This window comes from Homo sapiens, chromosome 8 (assembly GCF_000001405.40).
Source record: "Homo sapiens chromosome 8, GRCh38.p14 Primary Assembly".
Classification (NCBI taxonomy): Eukaryota; Metazoa; Chordata; class Mammalia; order Primates; family Hominidae; genus Homo; species Homo sapiens.
In genome coordinates, this window is record NC_000008.11 from 2,969,732 (window position 1) to 2,987,257 (window position 17,526).

General features: G+C 40.4%; 1 protein-coding gene and 1 long non-coding RNA gene across 10 annotated transcripts in view, besides 1 other annotated feature; one reads left to right on the forward strand and one right to left on the reverse strand.

Moving 5' to 3' along the window:
• The window catches only part of LOC105377785 (uncharacterized), a 297,276-nt gene that overhangs the window by 242,776 nt on the left and 36,974 nt on the right, over positions 1-17,526 (forward strand). The gene's annotated exons all lie outside the window — the stretch shown is intronic.
• The window catches only part of CSMD1 (CUB and Sushi multiple domains 1), a 2,059,554-nt gene that overhangs the window by 34,371 nt on the left and 2,007,657 nt on the right, over positions 1-17,526 (reverse strand). For all 5 annotated transcript variants that reach the window (XM_011534752.3, NM_033225.6, XM_011534753.4 and 2 more), the window contains 3 exons: positions 8,881-9,069; positions 4,720-4,893; positions 3,386-3,568 (listed from right to left, as the gene is read on the reverse strand). In XM_011534752.3, coding sequence (XP_011533054.1) covers positions 3,386-3,568; positions 4,720-4,893; positions 8,881-9,069 — 546 coding nt within the window. The remainder of the gene's footprint in view (positions 1-3,385; positions 3,569-4,719; positions 4,894-8,880; positions 9,070-17,526) is intronic.
• Positions 15,730-16,297: an enhancer, noted in NCBI's record as "OCT4-NANOG hESC enhancer chr8:2842983-2843550 (GRCh37/hg19 assembly coordinates)". NCBI's record gives its function as "activates a minimal SCP1, AML or CMV promoter by ChIP-STARR-seq in primed H9 embryonic stem cells {active_cell/tissue: H9 hESC(primed)}" and the evidence as "EXISTENCE:reporter gene assay evidence [ECO:0000049][PMID:30033119]".

Genomic DNA, 17,526 nt, shown 5'->3' on the forward strand with positions numbered 1-17,526 from the left:
TTTGGACCTATGATAACAAACAAGGAACAAAATGAAAACCTACAGATTCTCCAAAATGTATTTCAAATTTTTGCTGGTGTGTGTGTGTTCAGTCACTGATTTTATGACTTTTATACATAATTTGTTGCCTTATTGGGTGTAACATATATTGCAGTGGGCTTATTCAGCTTCCCATGATGTCCGTATCATATAATGCAGTTTTAGAAGTAATCAATTTTGTGAGGCATGATATATTTGAGAAATATTTTCAGCATTGCAACATTTTTGTAACTTATTTTGTGTATGCAGCTTTTAAGGGCTAAGTTTCTAATTTTTTTTCATAGAAAACTTTTAAATGTCTAACTTTAGAAAGCAAAATAAAATTTTTAAAAATACTTTGCATTGCCTGAGTTAGATAGATTGGGAAGTGAAACGCAATTAAGCTCTCATTCAAATAAATTGTTTAATGTGTACTTTGCTGGACTAGAACTCATAGTGTGCCTTCATAGCCCCACAGAGGTGAGATTGCTAAGGAAAAACATTGCCCACCCTCAACTGTTATAATTTTGTTCATCTTTTAAGTTTTCAAAACTGAAATACTTGAGGTAAACATGATACTGAATGTACAGTCTCAAGTGAATGGCCATCTTTGATAGAATATTTCATATTCCACTTTCTGGGAGTGTCAGAGTCTCTGCTCTTCATACACCAAGTTCAGGCTGCAAACCAGGGTTTAGGCTCAATTATTGCATTTAATATTCTTGAAAACAGAAGGATAGTTCTGCTTTTAATCAGCATCAGATTATATCTATAAAGTCTGAATAATTATTCCAGCATTCACTTATTGACATCCAGCCCTCTTTGTAACTATTGAGGAAATATTTTAAATTTCAATTAAAATACTGCCGATGAGTGATCTTTCAGCCTCTCTGTTTTTAAACAATGGAGAATTAAGATCCAGAACCAAGACTTTGTGATCACTACATAGAATCAGGTCTAGAGCCAAAATGTCACAATTCACAAACCCACCATGGTGCTTTCCAAAAGTCCCGAATGATAAATGCTACAGATACATTAAGCTACTGTTAAATGGGATTTGACAGAAACGTTGAAATTTTACTATGGAAATTGTTTTAATTTATTGGCAACATTTTTTGTAACTCCACACTTTGTTATAACTACAGGATTAAACAAACTTCACAAAAAGATTATAAGCCATTCTTACACACCCTTTAGTCAGATTCATCCACTGTTTACATTTTGCTCACTTTTTCTCCCTCTGTCTCTCTAAATATGTATTTTCTAAGGTATGTGAGTGTAAGTTACAGACATGACAACTCTTTAGAGTTAAATATATCAGTATGTATTTCCTAAGAACAAAGGCATTCTCTTACATAACCATAATACAATTATTAAAAGAATGAAATGTAACTTTGATGCAATGTTGTCTCATACACACCCATAATCTAATTCACTTCAAGCTCTTGGACATATTTTTAATAGTTGTCTTAAGATCCTGTGTCAGTTCGCCACCTAGATCATCTCAGGGTCAGACTCTACCATCTCGGTAACGCCTCTCATAACTCTCTTTTGCTCAGTGTAGGACCCAATCCGAGACCACACATTGCACTTATCGGGTCTCTTAAATCTGAAAGAATCACTCAGACGGTGTCTTTTCTGAACTTGACGTTTCTTCGTGAACACGGGCAAGCTGATTTGCTGCATGCCCCTAGGGTTTTGGGGGATGTTATTGCTGCTGCTTCAGGACTCGATTCAGGTTACGCATTTCACTGGCAATACCATAGAAATGACAATGTCTCTTTTCAGTGCCTCATATCGGGAAGATAGAACATCACCTTGTTAAAATATTGGTGATAATGGTTTATCCCATAGGATTGCTTACCTGAAGTACTATATGAAAGAGTAGAAAACACTCTGGTTTTGGTGAGAAAACATTGCTCTCATGTGCAAATTTTAATACTGAAATATCTACAAGATGAGAGGGAACTGAAAACATTTGCATTTGATTAACAAATTTATATCAATTTATAGTGTCATACTTCAGTTAAAAACAAAAGTATGATCCTGCAATTCGTGACTATGGGTAACCATTTCTCACTACTAATCAGTGGTATTTGACCTAAGACAACTTTTTTAGGGCCTAGTCTTAAGATTTATACTACTTTGATTGTCAAGAGGCAATTCAGAGTAAAAAATTATCTTGGATTATCATGTTTGTGTGCACATATGTGTATGCCTATATTATATGCATATATATACATATATAGTCAAAAATAGTCTTTGAGAAAAAATATATACACTATGCATGGGTAAATATAATATATAAATATGCAAATATATGCACAAACATTCCTATATTAATATTTAGCGTTATTTTATATGTGAAATTAATGTTACATAGATTATATAATATAGATAGATCATATACATACATTATTTCTATTTACCTATATAGAATGTATAATACAATAAAGGCAGAAGTGGAGACAGTATAGTCAAGGACAATAAATGAAGATTAAGGAAACTCAAGTTAAATTTCTCACATTGATAGTGTGTATGTGAGCTTACTCAAGTTGGTAAAATTATTTGGTTGGAAAGTGTTTCATACATACAACAATACATATTGAATTAATTTGTATAACCTTTTTAGACTGAAAATTTAATTGAGGAGTTTGCTTGTAAAGAATTCCTAACATTTACATTCCTATCTGTCTGAATTCTAAATCGGGTTTTGAACTCCGAATACATGGTTACCATCACCTCTCAGTTCACCTTTGCTTGAGGCTACATTTCTGATACACAGTGCAGTGTCTATAAGGTGTCCGTGGCTATTCTTACTGTCATTACTGGAGCATACCACCACTTCCTACGATGCCTCTCAAACATTAGAATCAAGTAGACCCACTCCAAAATAGTTCATAGAATATAACCCCAGATTCCTGTGAAATAGAGTGCTCCACACACAGGGGCCACCAACAGATTGGAAATGACGTGTGAAGGAAGCCTGCTTCCAGCCTGCGGAAATTCCCATCAGTGATCTGCATTGGTCCTGCTCACTGCTCTGGAACCCCACTCACTCACTGCCAGGATCTAGAAAACACTGGCAACACCACATATAGATTATCACTGGGAGAAGATTAGAAGCTTCCGTGTTACGAACTTTCAAACAATAAGCATCCGTGTGATGGGACCTGTGGATACTTGGAATACCTCCATGCACCCAGTCATGATTTCTGATGATGCTTCCACAAATATTGCGGGGAAAAGATTTAATTGTATAAATAGTACAAACCTCTAGAATTTTTGTAGAATTTTGCCAGGCATTTTAGAACGAGCTGTGTGGTTTTAACTTTCAAGGTGGACCTTAAGGCTTCTGGCTACTCACCCTCACACACCGGCTGCAGTCCTGACCATGACCCATTGAGCAAACACGTGCGTTCAGGGGAGCCCCTCAGCTGGTGCCCCATTTCACAGGAGAAGCGGAGAAGACTCTTTGTCTTAAAGTCATCACCAAGCCGAGACCCATGTGCTGGGGTCCCCGGATCACCACAGAATCCAGGATTATTTCCTATTGAAAACAAACACATACGGCAATCCACAATTGTGTTAGACTTGTTTTAAGCAGAGTTGTCACACTTAAAGATAATGAAAAGTTGTTGAAATTTGTGTTTCACATGAGTTATGGTTACACAACATTCTGCAATCTTGTAAGAAAGAATTTCTTTGTGATAGCCCCAAAATGAAAAGAATTTAGGATGTGGCTCCCATGTTACTAACTTCACAATAGCCTATTCAAATATGGTTGTGAGAATAAACGACGTTTCCTTTGGAAGGAGGAAAATGCCAGGAATGGTAAATGCATCACGTCTTCACTGAAAAGGTAGGTAGAGAGCAAAAGGAAAATGGGGCTTTAGGTAAACAGGGAATGTGGGGAAAAAAAAAAAAAAAGTCAAAGGAGAGGTTTAGCTCTTCAGAATTGTGTCCAGAGTTGCTGGTTCGCTGAATTTTGGTTGTTTAAGAAACATTCGTGAAAAAAATAAAGATAATGTTTTTTTTCTTCCAAAGAGGACCCATGCGGTTAATGGTGGTAGAGGATGATGGTAGAGGATGATGGTAGAGGATGATGGTAGAGGATGGTGGTAGAGGATGATGGTAGAGGATGATGGTAGAGGATGGTGGTAGAGGATGGTGGTAGAGGATGGTGGTAGAGGATGATGGTAGAGGATGATGGTAGAGGATGGTGGTAGAGGATGGTGGTAGAGGATGATGGTAGAGGATGATGGTAGAGGATGATGGTAGAGGATGGTGGTAGAGGATGGTGGTAGAGGATGGTGGTAGAGGATGATGGTAGAGGATGATGGTAGAGGATGATGGTAGAGGATGATGGTAGAGGGAGGGAAAATTAACCACATAAAAAAGAATAAAGAGCGAACAGGGACACACGGAGCCATGGCCGGCAAGCGTCCTCTCAAATGAGATCCAGACTCTCCTGAGAACCCCGGAGGAGAACATTTAAAGTAATGGTGTCTAACGATTATTGCGAAGATGAAGACAATATCTATAAGAGCGGCGTATTTGGCTAGAAATGCAATACTAATTTCAAATAAATGCATAATTATAGGGCTTTTCAAATAACTGTAAATCATCATTATTTGAAATCACTATTTGAAAAGTTATTTGAAATCTGTAATTCTGTCAGTTCACTCGTAAGCCCCTCACCTGTGCAGTGGGGCAGTGCCCCGCTCCAGTGACTGTCTTCCTGGCACACTCTCGTGTCGTTGCCTATGAGGCTCTCGCTCCCTCTGCAGGAGTAGTGCACGACGGCGCCATAGGTAAACAGCTCTCCAGTGAGGACGGCGTTGGCAGGGACCCCTGGGTGTCCACACGATATAGCTTCAGAAAAAAGATAAAACAATTGAGTACATCCTTCCAGTTAAACCACTTTGTATTGGAAAATCTCCCATACAGACACCCATACTGACATCATGTATTAAAGAAAAACACCTAAATATTCTGGTACTTATGTAATTTGTGAGAAATACCAATTTTCAGATGACACTTCCTCCCCTAATTTCTTTACTGAAAAGGAAAGGTCCCGTTTATGAAGTTTTTGTTTTGCTAAGGTAGCTTTCCTTATGGTAGAAATTTACATGTGGATTTTCAAGGAGACAGCCATACTGCCTACATTTTTCCATCGACCCTTAACTATATTCCAAATGAACAGTATTATAGGAAATTTGCGAAAGTAACATGGATGCATTAAAACTATTTCCACGATGTTTTCAGTTAATATGACAATCATATTCTTTGCTTGCGGACATGATTCTGTCAAATCTGCTTAATCTTCAAGCTCACATGTCTAAGAAAACCATTCTAACAGTTACTCTTTGAATAAGGGGCAGTCTAATATGTATAAGTAAAATAATAATAATCAATTATTGATTCATTTGTTCTTCAAATTGTTCTATAAAATAATCTCATTATTTCCCTTCATTTCCTTAAAATTATACCAAATCAGGCCTAAACTCTATTTATAAATATCCTTCAAAAAGGCAAACTCTGTAATCCAGATTAAAATAGGATAGTGAAGATTTATTTTTCCTTTACTGTACAGTATCAAATGAGGGCTAGCAATGGACAAATTTTTATCTATATGCAAAAATAACCGATTTGAGACTACCAAGGAATTACTCAAAGGCGACTGCTTTAGTATCCTAGAGTAATTCCATTTGGTAACGAGACACCCAGAAGGGTTATCAACCAGAGAGGTAGATTTGAACGCCTGGAAGCCATGGCCATCCCCTGAGTCATATCAGCCGTCACTTTCTGTCTTACATGGACATTGATTCATTGGAGAACCGGATTTTATCCACATAGAGTCCTTAAAAGAAGCCAGTGAGACCTGAAACAGTGAAATGCTGGATAAATGACCATTTCCAGGTGAAATAAAATTTATATCTTATTTAAATTTTAACCTTCAGTGAAACAATATCACAGCAAAATCAGACATGGAGCTCAGCTGCTCTAGAGCATGGAAAAGCAAAGGCACCCTGAGATCTTTGGATTCCCAAAGTGACGACAATTCCAACTGTTAATGACACCAAGCGGAGTGAACTGGCCACCCCGGAAAAGGAGAGCCAGCTAAACCCCAGCTCCTGGAGACTTGAGGAACATCAGCATCAGTACAAAACCAAATGGAAGTCTCACACAAGCCAGTGGAGACATAAAAGAAATGTTCTGGGACAGACAAAAACAAAACTAAACCAATTTCTATGAAAAATTCCCATGTGTGAAAGCAAGGAAGATGAGAATGCAGACATAATTTGAAGACCGTAACACATTTACAGATGCATTTTTTGTTAAATAAGGCTGAGAATTTTTTTGAAAGTTACCACTGTCGTTCTCCACAGGAATTAATTGAATTGTTGAAGTTAGAATTTGAGATGAGTTTCTGTGTAGATTAGAGGAATGTGAGGGAAACTCACTTGGAGAAAAAAAAAAAAACTGCAACACTAACCCATTCTCAAAATACACTTCACAGTGCTAAAACTGAAAAGGCAAGAGGCATTATCCCTTTTATTGTGTATGTGGTAGATCCGATTCATAATGTAAGTGCCATTTCCCTCCTCATTTCTATTTTTATTTTTTTAGAGATGGGGATTTGTTTGCTGGCCAGCCTGGAGTGCAGTGGTGCAATCGTAACTCCTGGACTCAAGTGATCCTGCCACCTCAGCCTCCCAATGTGCTGGGACTATAGGCATGTGCCACCATGCCCCACTAGTTTTTATTTTATTTTTTGTAGAGATGGAGTCTGGCTAGGTTGTCCAAGTTGATCTAGAACTCCTGGCCTCAAGAGATCCACCTTCCCTGGCCTCCCAAAATGCTGGGATTACAGGTGTGAGTCACGGCACCTGGCCTCCACTTTCTTTATGGATGTAAAATGCATAGGACAAAGATCAGATTTTGATTTTAAGGATTGCTTTGCTTCTGCCTAATTTCAAAAAGACTAAAGAGAGTAACACCTTTTCCTAAATCTTCAGACTATGATCTTAAGACATGATTCTCTTTTAGTTAACAGTCAATCTGATTTTTTTTTCAAGTCAAAGAAAATAACACTTTGGCTATTTGGGTAAAATGATATATTCTTGCTAATCTTCATGGTCTAAAATACACTGACAATAAAGCTGTAAGAGGGGCCATAAGGATCATCTATAATTATCTCTGCCCAGAAGAACACATCCATTTTTCAGAGCCATATCCCTTCCCCTGATTTAAAGATTCAATTCACAAGCCAATTACTATCAGGATATGAGGTTTTTTTAAAAAAAAAAAGAAAGAAAGAAAAAAAGATTTAATAACAACTTTATTCATTTATTTTTTATCTTTATTTAAGTTCTGGGATGCATGTGCAGGGTGTGTAGGTTTGTTACGCAGGGAAATGTGTGCCATGGTGGTTTGCTGCACCTATCAATCCATCACCTAGGTACCAAGCCCCATATGCATTAGCTATTTATCCTGATGCTCTCCCTCCCCCTACCCTACTGACAGGCCTCAGTGAGTGTTGGTCCTCTCCCTGTGTCTATGTGTTCAGCTCCTACTTATAAGTGAGAATTTGTGGTGTTTGGTTTTCTGTTCCTGCATTAGTTTGCAGAGGATAATGGCTTCCAAGCTCCATCCATGTCTCTGCAAAGGACATAATCTCATTCTTTTTTATGGCTGCATCACGTTCCACGGTGTGTATGTACCACGTTTTCTTTATTCAGTGTTTTACTGATGGGCACTTGGGTTGATTCCATGTGTGGTTATTGTGAATAGTGCTGCAGTGAACATACACATGCATGTATCATGGGATCTAACTAAACAAAAGAGCTTTAGCACTGCAAAAGAAACTATCCTCAGAGTGAACACACAACCAACAGAATGGATGAAAATCGTTGCAATCTATCCATCTGACAAAGGTCTAATATCCAGAATCTACAAGGAACTTAAACAAATTTACAAGAAAAAAACAACCCCATTAAAAAGTGGGCAAAGGACATGAACAGACACTTCTCAAAAGAAGACATTTATGTGGCCAATAAACATATGAAAAAAGCTCAACATCACTGATCATAAGGGAAATGCAAATCAAAACTACAATGAGATACCATCTCATGCCTGTCAGAATGGCAATTATTAAAAAGTCAAGAAACAACAGATGCTGGCGAGGCTGTGGAGAAATAGGAATGATTTTACACTGTTGGTGGAATGTAAATTAGTTGAATCATTTTGGAAGACAGTGTAGCGATTCCTCAAAGACCTAGAATAAGAAATACCATTTGACCCAGCAATCCCACTACTGGGTATATACTCAAAGGATATGAGGTTTTTATTGTAGTCACCATGGACTGTACCAGGAATGCTCACAAAACCCAATCAGGTCTCACAGCACTCCCTTCTTTGGCCGTAGATGCCAGGTCAACAGACAGAAACTCCACACCAGAGCACTTCGCCCACCTGGGCTGAGCGAGAGTAAGACGCCTGGCGGGGAGGTCCTGGCTGCCGTGTCTGAGCTGTGTGGACCAGGCCTACCTGGTAGGCTGAGGCTGAAGGCAAGCCATGAGAAAAACAGATAAAGGCATCATTGTCCAAGTGGCATCCAATAACCTGGGTCATTTCTCCTGAGCATACCAGCATCCCCCGACCCTTCAAATTTGCTGAAGTTGTATTTGGTGATTTCTGGCCACTCGATCTACAGCTATCATAAAAACTCCTACAATTGGTGATGGGAGGACAGAAGGAATTAAAATTCAGTGCCTTTTAAATATACTTACGGAATTTTCTGCTGATGGTGACCTTGCAGGGGTCTCTGCACAGAAATTGGGAATAACCCTGACTTACCCAAACACTTGGGCAGGGATCGGTCCCATAAGCCATTTGCCATACAGGTCAAGGCTGAAGATCCCAGCAAGTAAAATCCCTTCTTGCAATGGTACAGGATACTCATTCCATACTCAAAACTCTCAGGGAAGTTCTGTTGCCCGTGACGAATGGCATTTTCCACAAAGCCTGGATCAGAACAGTTCACCACTAGAAAATAAAACATTTCACACACCATTTAGAAACAGCTAGAAATAACAACAAAATAGATCAGAAATGAAGGCGAATTCCTCATCATTTTAGAAAGTTCAAAAACTGACAACATGATGGCTGAGGCTCATGAAATTCCACTCTCACGATGAATTCTCCGCTTTGGACCACTCTTTTTCAAGAGGTGTCAAGAACTGGTCGACCACGATAGCAATTTTCACGTGAGGCTAATTTCCTCTATTTCCTAGTAATGTTTATTCAACGTAAATTCTGAAGTTAGTTTCCTTGGTTAAGTTTTTGTGTTCTAATAATGGTCAAATAGAACTAGCTGAGGTTCGTTTAAATATTTTTACTCAAGTGTGGTGTTTTAGAACAGTCTGTGGCACACCAGTTAATTACCCCCCAACACACATACACACCTACTTGCATTAGTGCTTTAATATGTGTGCCTAAAATAATTTTGCTCTATGTAGAACGCAACTAAAAATGACAATTATTCCATCAACACCTAACAGAAATGCAAATCAAGCCAGCCTCTGACTTAGGCCTCTTCTCCTTTTAGAAACAGGTCCGTGGTGAGGCAGTCTTCTGCGGCATGCGGGACATGCTGTGGTTCCTCTGAAAGGCATTAGCCTGAATGCCTGTTGGCGTCTGTGAGGGAATTAGCGATGTGCTTTTGCAGGTGCAGAGGAAAAGAAAGAACTCTGATTACCTCATGCTTTGACCCACCCCACCAGTGAATGAGGCAGCTGTTCCAGAGGCCACAGTCTCTCCAGATATTTCTGGCTCAGAAAAGCACTGTGCAAATGAATCTCGGGCGGCCTCTGCACATCATGAGTCCCAGAAGCTGAAGACAAACCCTGTACCCAAACTGTGCGTTTTATTTCTTCTCTATTCAAAAAAGGAAGGCAGAGGGCAGAATCAAGGCTTACAGTGTTCCCTTTTAGTGCAGTAGAATAATGTTCTATGCTTCCTAAAACACCCCTGAGTTTACAGAAGAAAGTCTTGAGTTCTTTTGAATCAAAAAAGCCAAAACAAACAAAAAGCCATGTGTGAAGTTCGGGCAAATAATTTTTAAGGCATGTACATGCCCCTACAGGGCATGTATCTGCAATACAATTGTAACCAAATCTCTGAAATAGCAGGAATTACCTAATGTGAGAAATTCTAATTAACTTGAAAATGTGATTATTTGTATAACCTGGAAGACACCCACATCGTCCCATTCTTACATCAAGCATAAGAGATGGAATCAGCTCCCCCATGCCATACTTTCATAAGGAGACGGACAGTCCCGGGCTGGAACACTAAAGATATTTTTGTGTTTATGTTTGTGCTTATGTTGCTCTTAGGAGACTGTCCAAAAATAATTTCAAACTGTGTTTGTAATCAAAGCAGAGAAAGCCACTTAGGAGAAATGAGTGGAAGACTTTGACCATCTCCCACTAAGGATGACCGAGAGAAACCAAATGGCCCCGGGATGCCAAAGGCCAGATTGAGCTGATGCCACCATTTCTCCTCCTCCTCCTCCTCCTCCTCCTCCATTTCCTCCTCCACCTCTGTGTCCTTTCTTCCTCCTCCTCTTCCTTCTTCTCCTCCTCCACCTCCTTGTCCTCTCCTCCTCCTTTTCTTCCTCCTCCTCCTCTTCTTCCATCCCTCTCTTCCTTCTCTTTCTCCTCCTCCTTCTCTTTCTCCTCCTCCTTATCATTTTCATCTTCTCTTTGGCCCAGCCTCTCTTAAAGGTTCACTGGCAGACATTTATTTACTGGTGCAGTAACAACAGGATCCAGTCACACCCTTCTCCTTGCAGGCAGAGAACCAAATGTTCTCTGAGTTCCACCACGGCTGGTGAAGGGGAATTTACAATATGTGAGGTTCATAACCTTGCTCTGAAACTAAGGACTAAAATTCTCTTTAAGGGTCACTCTTGCCGTGGAAAGAGGTGCGCAGGAGACAATAAACCCCTCATTCTTGTAAATCATTTTGCAACCTTACATTGCATTAGAATTGCTTGGAGGATGTGTATTAAAATGCTAAGCCCTAAGTTCCTACCCTTTCCTTTACCTAGTTCACTACCCTTAAAATATTTTGAGCAGTAAAAAATGTTTGAAAGCAATAAATATTCCTTGAGCCCCATGTGGGGAAACTCAGTGGATCCTAAAATGGAAGAAGCATGGATACAAATACTCTAAATCTTCTCATGCACCTTTTCAGTCCTACATAGAGTTGCAGTCAGAAGTCTTTCTTTATGTTCCTTCCTATTTAATTCTGAGGCTCCAATAGGAGATACAGCTGCAACTATGTGCTGGAGGAAAAACAGGGCAGGAATAATTTGATTTATTTGTCCATGATAGAACTTCCATACCATTGTTGCAAATGGGTGTGTTTTACTGTACAGAGAAGAATTTATCTGCCAGAAGAGTTTGTTAGTGACCAACCAATCCACACAAGCACCTTTCCCATCTGTATTTGTTTTGTCATTTTCTATGTGAACAATTCCTATCCAGGGATCTGATGGAAAGAGGCTTATGTGAGTGACAGGTGAGCTATTGGTTTGTAAACTAGAAGGAGAAATGGCCAGTGAAGTTCATGGTGCGGAGATATGTCAGGCCCACCTGCAGCGACTCCAGACCTGGTTCATGACATGCTGTTAAGTATAGGGTAATGCGTCAGAAAGAAATAAAGAGGCTCACTCTAGACGGCTGCACCTCATCTTAACATCTTAATGCCTAATACACTAAGACTTGATTTCCAAGTGTGAAAACCTGACATGGAACCTGATTTTGTCAGCTGGGAGGAATGAGAACACTGATGTCTTATATACATACAGCTCAGCGTGGATTTTGTCAGCTGGAAGGAATGAGAACATGATGTCTTATATACATTCAGCCCAGCAGGGAGAAGTTCAAATGAACACACAGGCTGTGTTCTGTGGCGAAAGCTGGGTATGTGGAAAGGTAAAAGAAGAAATTAATACCGGGATCAATAACAGGTCCAAAGTCACAATGACAATTGAACTAGAAATACATAAGAATCAGGACTCCTGAACACATGTCTGGTATAGCATAATAATAAAAGGCATCAGCATTCCTTGGTGACAGGAATCCCAGTTGCACCCCACCCCTTTTTCCTGGAGAGGACCAGCTGGAAATCTTAGCCCTCGATAGGATTCTAGAGGTGACTCATTAAGCTATTTTCTCTACTCTATATACACTCCTTACTCAGAGATGTCTTCTTAAAGATGCTCAAGTTGACATACGAATATGGGTAACAGGCCAGGTGCGGTGGCTCACACCTGTAATCCCAGCACTTTGGGAGGCCAAGGTGGGCAGATCATTTGAGGTCAAGAGTTCGAGACCAGCCTGGCCAACACGGCGAAACCCCATCTCTATTAAAAATACAAAAATTAGCCAGGCATGGTGGCAGGGGCCTGTAATTCCAGCTACTCAGGAGGCTGAGGCAGGAGAATTGCTTGAACCCAGGATGCGGAAGCTGCAGTGAGCCGAGATCATGCCACTGCACTGCAGCCTGGGTGACAGAGCGAGACTCTGTCTCAAAAAACAAACAAACAAACGAAAAGCAAATATGGATAAACATAAGGTCCTATTGTTTATTCTCTTTCAAACTTTCTTGAGGATCATGGAGGTCCTTCCTATCCAGTAATGTCCCCATTCTCAGTTAAGTGAACGTACTGATCGCCTGATGAAGGAAGCCTGAAAACACTGTGTTTTGAGATTTGATGGTGAATTATTTGAGCAGTTTTGCCAGCTCTAAGAGGGATCACTGTTCCCGTGGCATGCCTCACACCGTAGTAGGTCTCAGCAAAGCACCCGCACTATGACCGCGGCTCCACCTCCAGGAGCTGCCCTGTCCTGCCATGTGCTCACTAACCAGTGTTTCCCTTTTAATTCCCTTCTTGGGGACAGGAAGCAAGGTGTGCTCCACATCCTCGCTTCTTTCCAGAACCCAAAGCAATGGCAGTGTTTTCCTGAAAAACTCCCTAATGACAGAGAAACGTGATAATTCCCATCCCAGGTTCCTTCTCCAGCTGTTGATCAATAGAAACGAAGCCACCTGTCTGCACGCTGGTCTCTTATAGGCAGCTTGGCTCTAAGCTGAAGGGCAGTAACAGGGCATCACATAAGAGTCTGGTGTCCTCTCCATGGCACAGATGCTGGGCTCTTCGGGCAGACGACTCCTAACATAACTTTGCAGGATTCGTATCTATTCGATTCCAGCCTGTTATGTGATGAGGAAACACCGTGAACACTTCAACTGTTTTTTAATTAGATAATGTAATTCCAAGTTCCATCTGTTGTTCTCAGAAAAACTTTTTATAATCAGTTCTTATATTAAACAGAATCTATATCTGATATATATATACATACATATATATTTTTTTTTGAGATGGAGTCTTGCTCTGTCTCCCATGCTGGAGTGCAGTGGCACAATCTCGGCTCACTGCAAGCTCCACCTGCTGGATTCACGCCATTCTCCTGCCTCAGCCTCCCGAGTAGCTGGTACTACAGGCACCCGCCACCATGCCTGGCTAATTTTTTGTATTTTTAGTAGAGACAGAGTTTCACTGTATTAGCCAGGATGGTCTCTATCTCCTGACCTCGTGATCCGCCTGCCTCAGCCTCCCAAAGTGCCGGGATTGCAGGTGTGAGCCACCTCGCCCAGTCTTTCTGTTGTATATTTTTAACTTCATTTATTTATTCATTAAAATGTATTACTTAACGATAATTATAGATAAGGCTTTACTTGAAGGCTCTGAGATGATTAGAGCAGAACCGTGGACTTTCACTTGTATATCCAAAATTTGGCAAAAAATTGTAAATCTAATCGTAACCCAAAGTAAAGCACTTCCCAGTCTTTGGCATCAGCACTCTTTCCTACAAGCACAATAGTTTTTAAAGAAAGTATAAGCAACTATGATCGAGGTCGTGCCTAACTTCTTATTTTTGTAGAAGCTCTGCCTGGGGCCAAATTTGTTCTTATGTGTGTTGATTTTGAAAGGCAAACCATGGAAATAAAGCTTAGTTTTTAAATTTCAATATAATTATTATACAAAAAGGAAAAGTAAAATCGAAACTGTCAGATTAAACTTTAAAAGCTAAATGCTATGGGCTAAGCTTTTATGTGAAATTAAAAATTAATATTAAGCAAAATTGGCAGAAATACACTGTTACAGTATGAACTGGTAACTCCTGTTCCCTGAGCAAATAGAAAACTGTTAATTACTAAGAAAAAAAATAAAACCAACTTAGTGCAAGTTCTGTTTTTAAATGGCTGTGAGTGACATTCTGAGAATAAAAGGCAACTAACTTTCCATACATTTGGAGGTGCACTGAGAGACCATCCGTTTATGTCGCTGCCTCAAATCGGATTCACAGGAAACGTCTGATCCACGTCTGTCAAATTCTGCTCACTGGGGCAACCCTCAACAGCAGTGACTGGGAGCCGAGCAAACGCACAGGAGGGAGAGGTAGGATGCTGGGAGGAGCATGGGATTTAAAGAAACCTGTGCGTTGAGGCTATTTATTTACTTTTTCTTTTTTCCCCCGAGACCACGTCTTGCTCTGTTGCCCAGGCTGGAGTGCAGTGGCATTATCTTGGCTCACTGCAACCTCCGCCTCCCTGGTTCAAGAGATTCTCCTGTCTCAGCCTCCTGAATAGCTGTGATTACAGGCATCCGCCACCATGCTCGGCTAATTTTTGTATTTTTAGTACAGACAGGGTTTCACCATATTGGTCAGGCTGGTCTTGAACTCCTGACCTCGTGATCCACCCACCTTGGGCTCCCAAAGTGCTGGGATTACAGGCATGAGCCACCGCGCCTCGCCTCATTCTTTTACTTCATGAGTGCTGGATGAACGGCCAGCGAAGATGAGCAAATAGAAGTTGTCAGAGACACATAGTGGTAATTTTGGGTCTAGGAAGTCAGGAATCCCAACAAGCCCAGCATCCCGTGCAAAGCACATGGGTTTGGAGGTAATAAACTTTTCAATCGTCCATACCACCATCGACTTCAGATTCTGTTGGTGTTTTTTAACTCACACATATTTATGCACGTATTTAATCCAACACGTTTGACTACACATCACCTGGACAAGAGGTTTACATACCCAACTTAAAAAATACATTGAAAATGTTTTAAAGTATAACTTCTTTAAGTTTGAATTTTAAGTTAACAGTTAACTCTGAACAGATACTGGAACAAATCAGACCTGAGCTTAAAATTTTGGCAGAAAAACCATTATTTTAAGACCATCATTGGCCTCAAAGCGACTCAAAATCAATATACGTCCCAATATAAACTGTGACACAATTTTTATGTCACAAAAATTGTGTACAGAATATAGAAACCTTAATTCTGTAAGCAGACTGGAAATATACCATGTTCAAAGCTTTATTTTGTTTTCAAAAAGAATCCTGTGGCCCCATCATGCCTGTATCACTAGCTTCTGCCTAGTTCAGGAACACGCAAAACACATGATATTTCCACATGTAAGTGAGGGAGGAGACTGTGGTGTGATACTGCTACACTGTTTCACCACGTGAGGCAGGAGACTGTGGTGTGATACTGCTACACTGCTTCACCACGTGAGGGAGGAGACTGGTGTGATACTGCTACACTGTTTCACCACGTGAGGGAGGAGACTGGTGTGATACTGCTACACTGTTTCACCACTTTCCTTACAAAGGTTCTATACAAAGTCACTAAATTACACAATGCATAGGCAATATATAGGCAATACTCCTTATAGTTTTCTTCTGAAATTTTACTTTTCTTAAAAAAAATATTCAATGAAGTATAACTGATAAAGTTTAAAGGGCACTGTTCAAACAAACATTGTCAACTGATTGACATACAAGGAAGAAAGTCATAGGAGAGGGTGACTCAGCTTCACTCAAGGAGCTCAGTGGGAAATCAGGCAAGGCCTTAAGAAGTTGCTTTGTCTTAACAATAGCTGCCCGGAGCAACAGGTGGACGGGTCTGGTACTTTCAATTTATTCTACAAGGAAACCGGAAATGTGCTCCAGGAGGCCCCAGTGGCTTCTGAACTGCTCCTTCTACATTCTTTGCATATTGTGATCGAAAAGAAAGAAGGGAAGGGAAGGGGAGGGGAGGGAAGGGAAGGGGAAGGGGAAGGGGAAGGGGAAGGGGAAGGGAAAGGGGAAGGGAAAGGGGAAGCGGAAGGGGAGAGAGGGAGGGAGGGAGAAAACCGTCTCCATAGAAGAAGGAAGGAAGGAAGGAAGGAAAGAAGGGAGGGAGGGACTGATAACCAGGTTACAGCTATAGTTTTGGCTTTTAGGTGTGATAAAAGAAATACGTTATAATTTATTGTAATTGACAATTGTAATTGATTGCCTGACTTTCCTGCGATAATATAAACTTTGAAGAGGAAATTCAGATTCCCTGAGGACTCACTGTCTGCCAGGCACTTGGCCAAGCATTGGTTTATCTAGAGCTCTCAAAAACCTATGAAGAGGGTACTGTGGCTACCACTTCCTTGATTCTTCATCTAAGAAAACTGCTGTTCTCCCAGGAAGTCGAGCATGAACTGTAAGACCTGCAGCTAGGACTAGGTGGTGTGGGTGCAAACACATATCAGATCAACCCCTAAGACTGTGTTTTCTCTACTCAGCAACACTCCCTCTAAGGCCTACACAGATATTAATATTTTCCCCAGTTCATTTATTTTTTATTTTTTTTGAGACAGAGTCTCACTCTGGCTCACCCAGGCTGGAGTGCAATGGCGCGATCTCAGCTCACTGCAAGCTACACCTCCCGGGTTCACACCATTCTCCTGCCTCAGTCTCCCGAGTAGGTGGGACTACAGGTGCCCACCACCACGCCCAGCTAATTTTTTGTATTTTTAGTAGAGACGGGTTTTCACTCTGTTAGCCAGGATGGTTTTGATCTCCTGACCTCGTGATTCGCCTGCCTCAGCCTCCCAAAGTGCTGGGATTACAGGCGTGAGCCACCGCGCCCGGCTCTCTAGTTCATTTTTTACCAAAGAAAATATGCCTAATGCAAAGGAAAAACATTGCAGGAAATATTAATTTGGTGCAAAAGTAATTGCGGTTTTTACTACAGCAATAGCAAAAACCGCAATTACTTTTGCATCGACCTAATAACACAAGGAAGTGGCATATGCAAATTCTCTACACCATCATATTTACATCTTGACTTCAGAGACTCTTGCAAGTACATTCCCTCTTAACTGATTTTAACTCAGCCCTAAGGCAAAGTTACAACTAATTCTTAATGGTCTCTCCGACTATATTATTTCCAGGCTTTGGATGTATTTTTCTATCATATTTTACTGATAAAATAATAAACAGCTTATATTAAGGGCATTTAGCATTTGCAGGTCAAGAAGAAAGGCAAGTTAACTCTCTGAGCTATTAAAATTTTAATTAAAGAGGCATTAATTTTATAAGGATAAT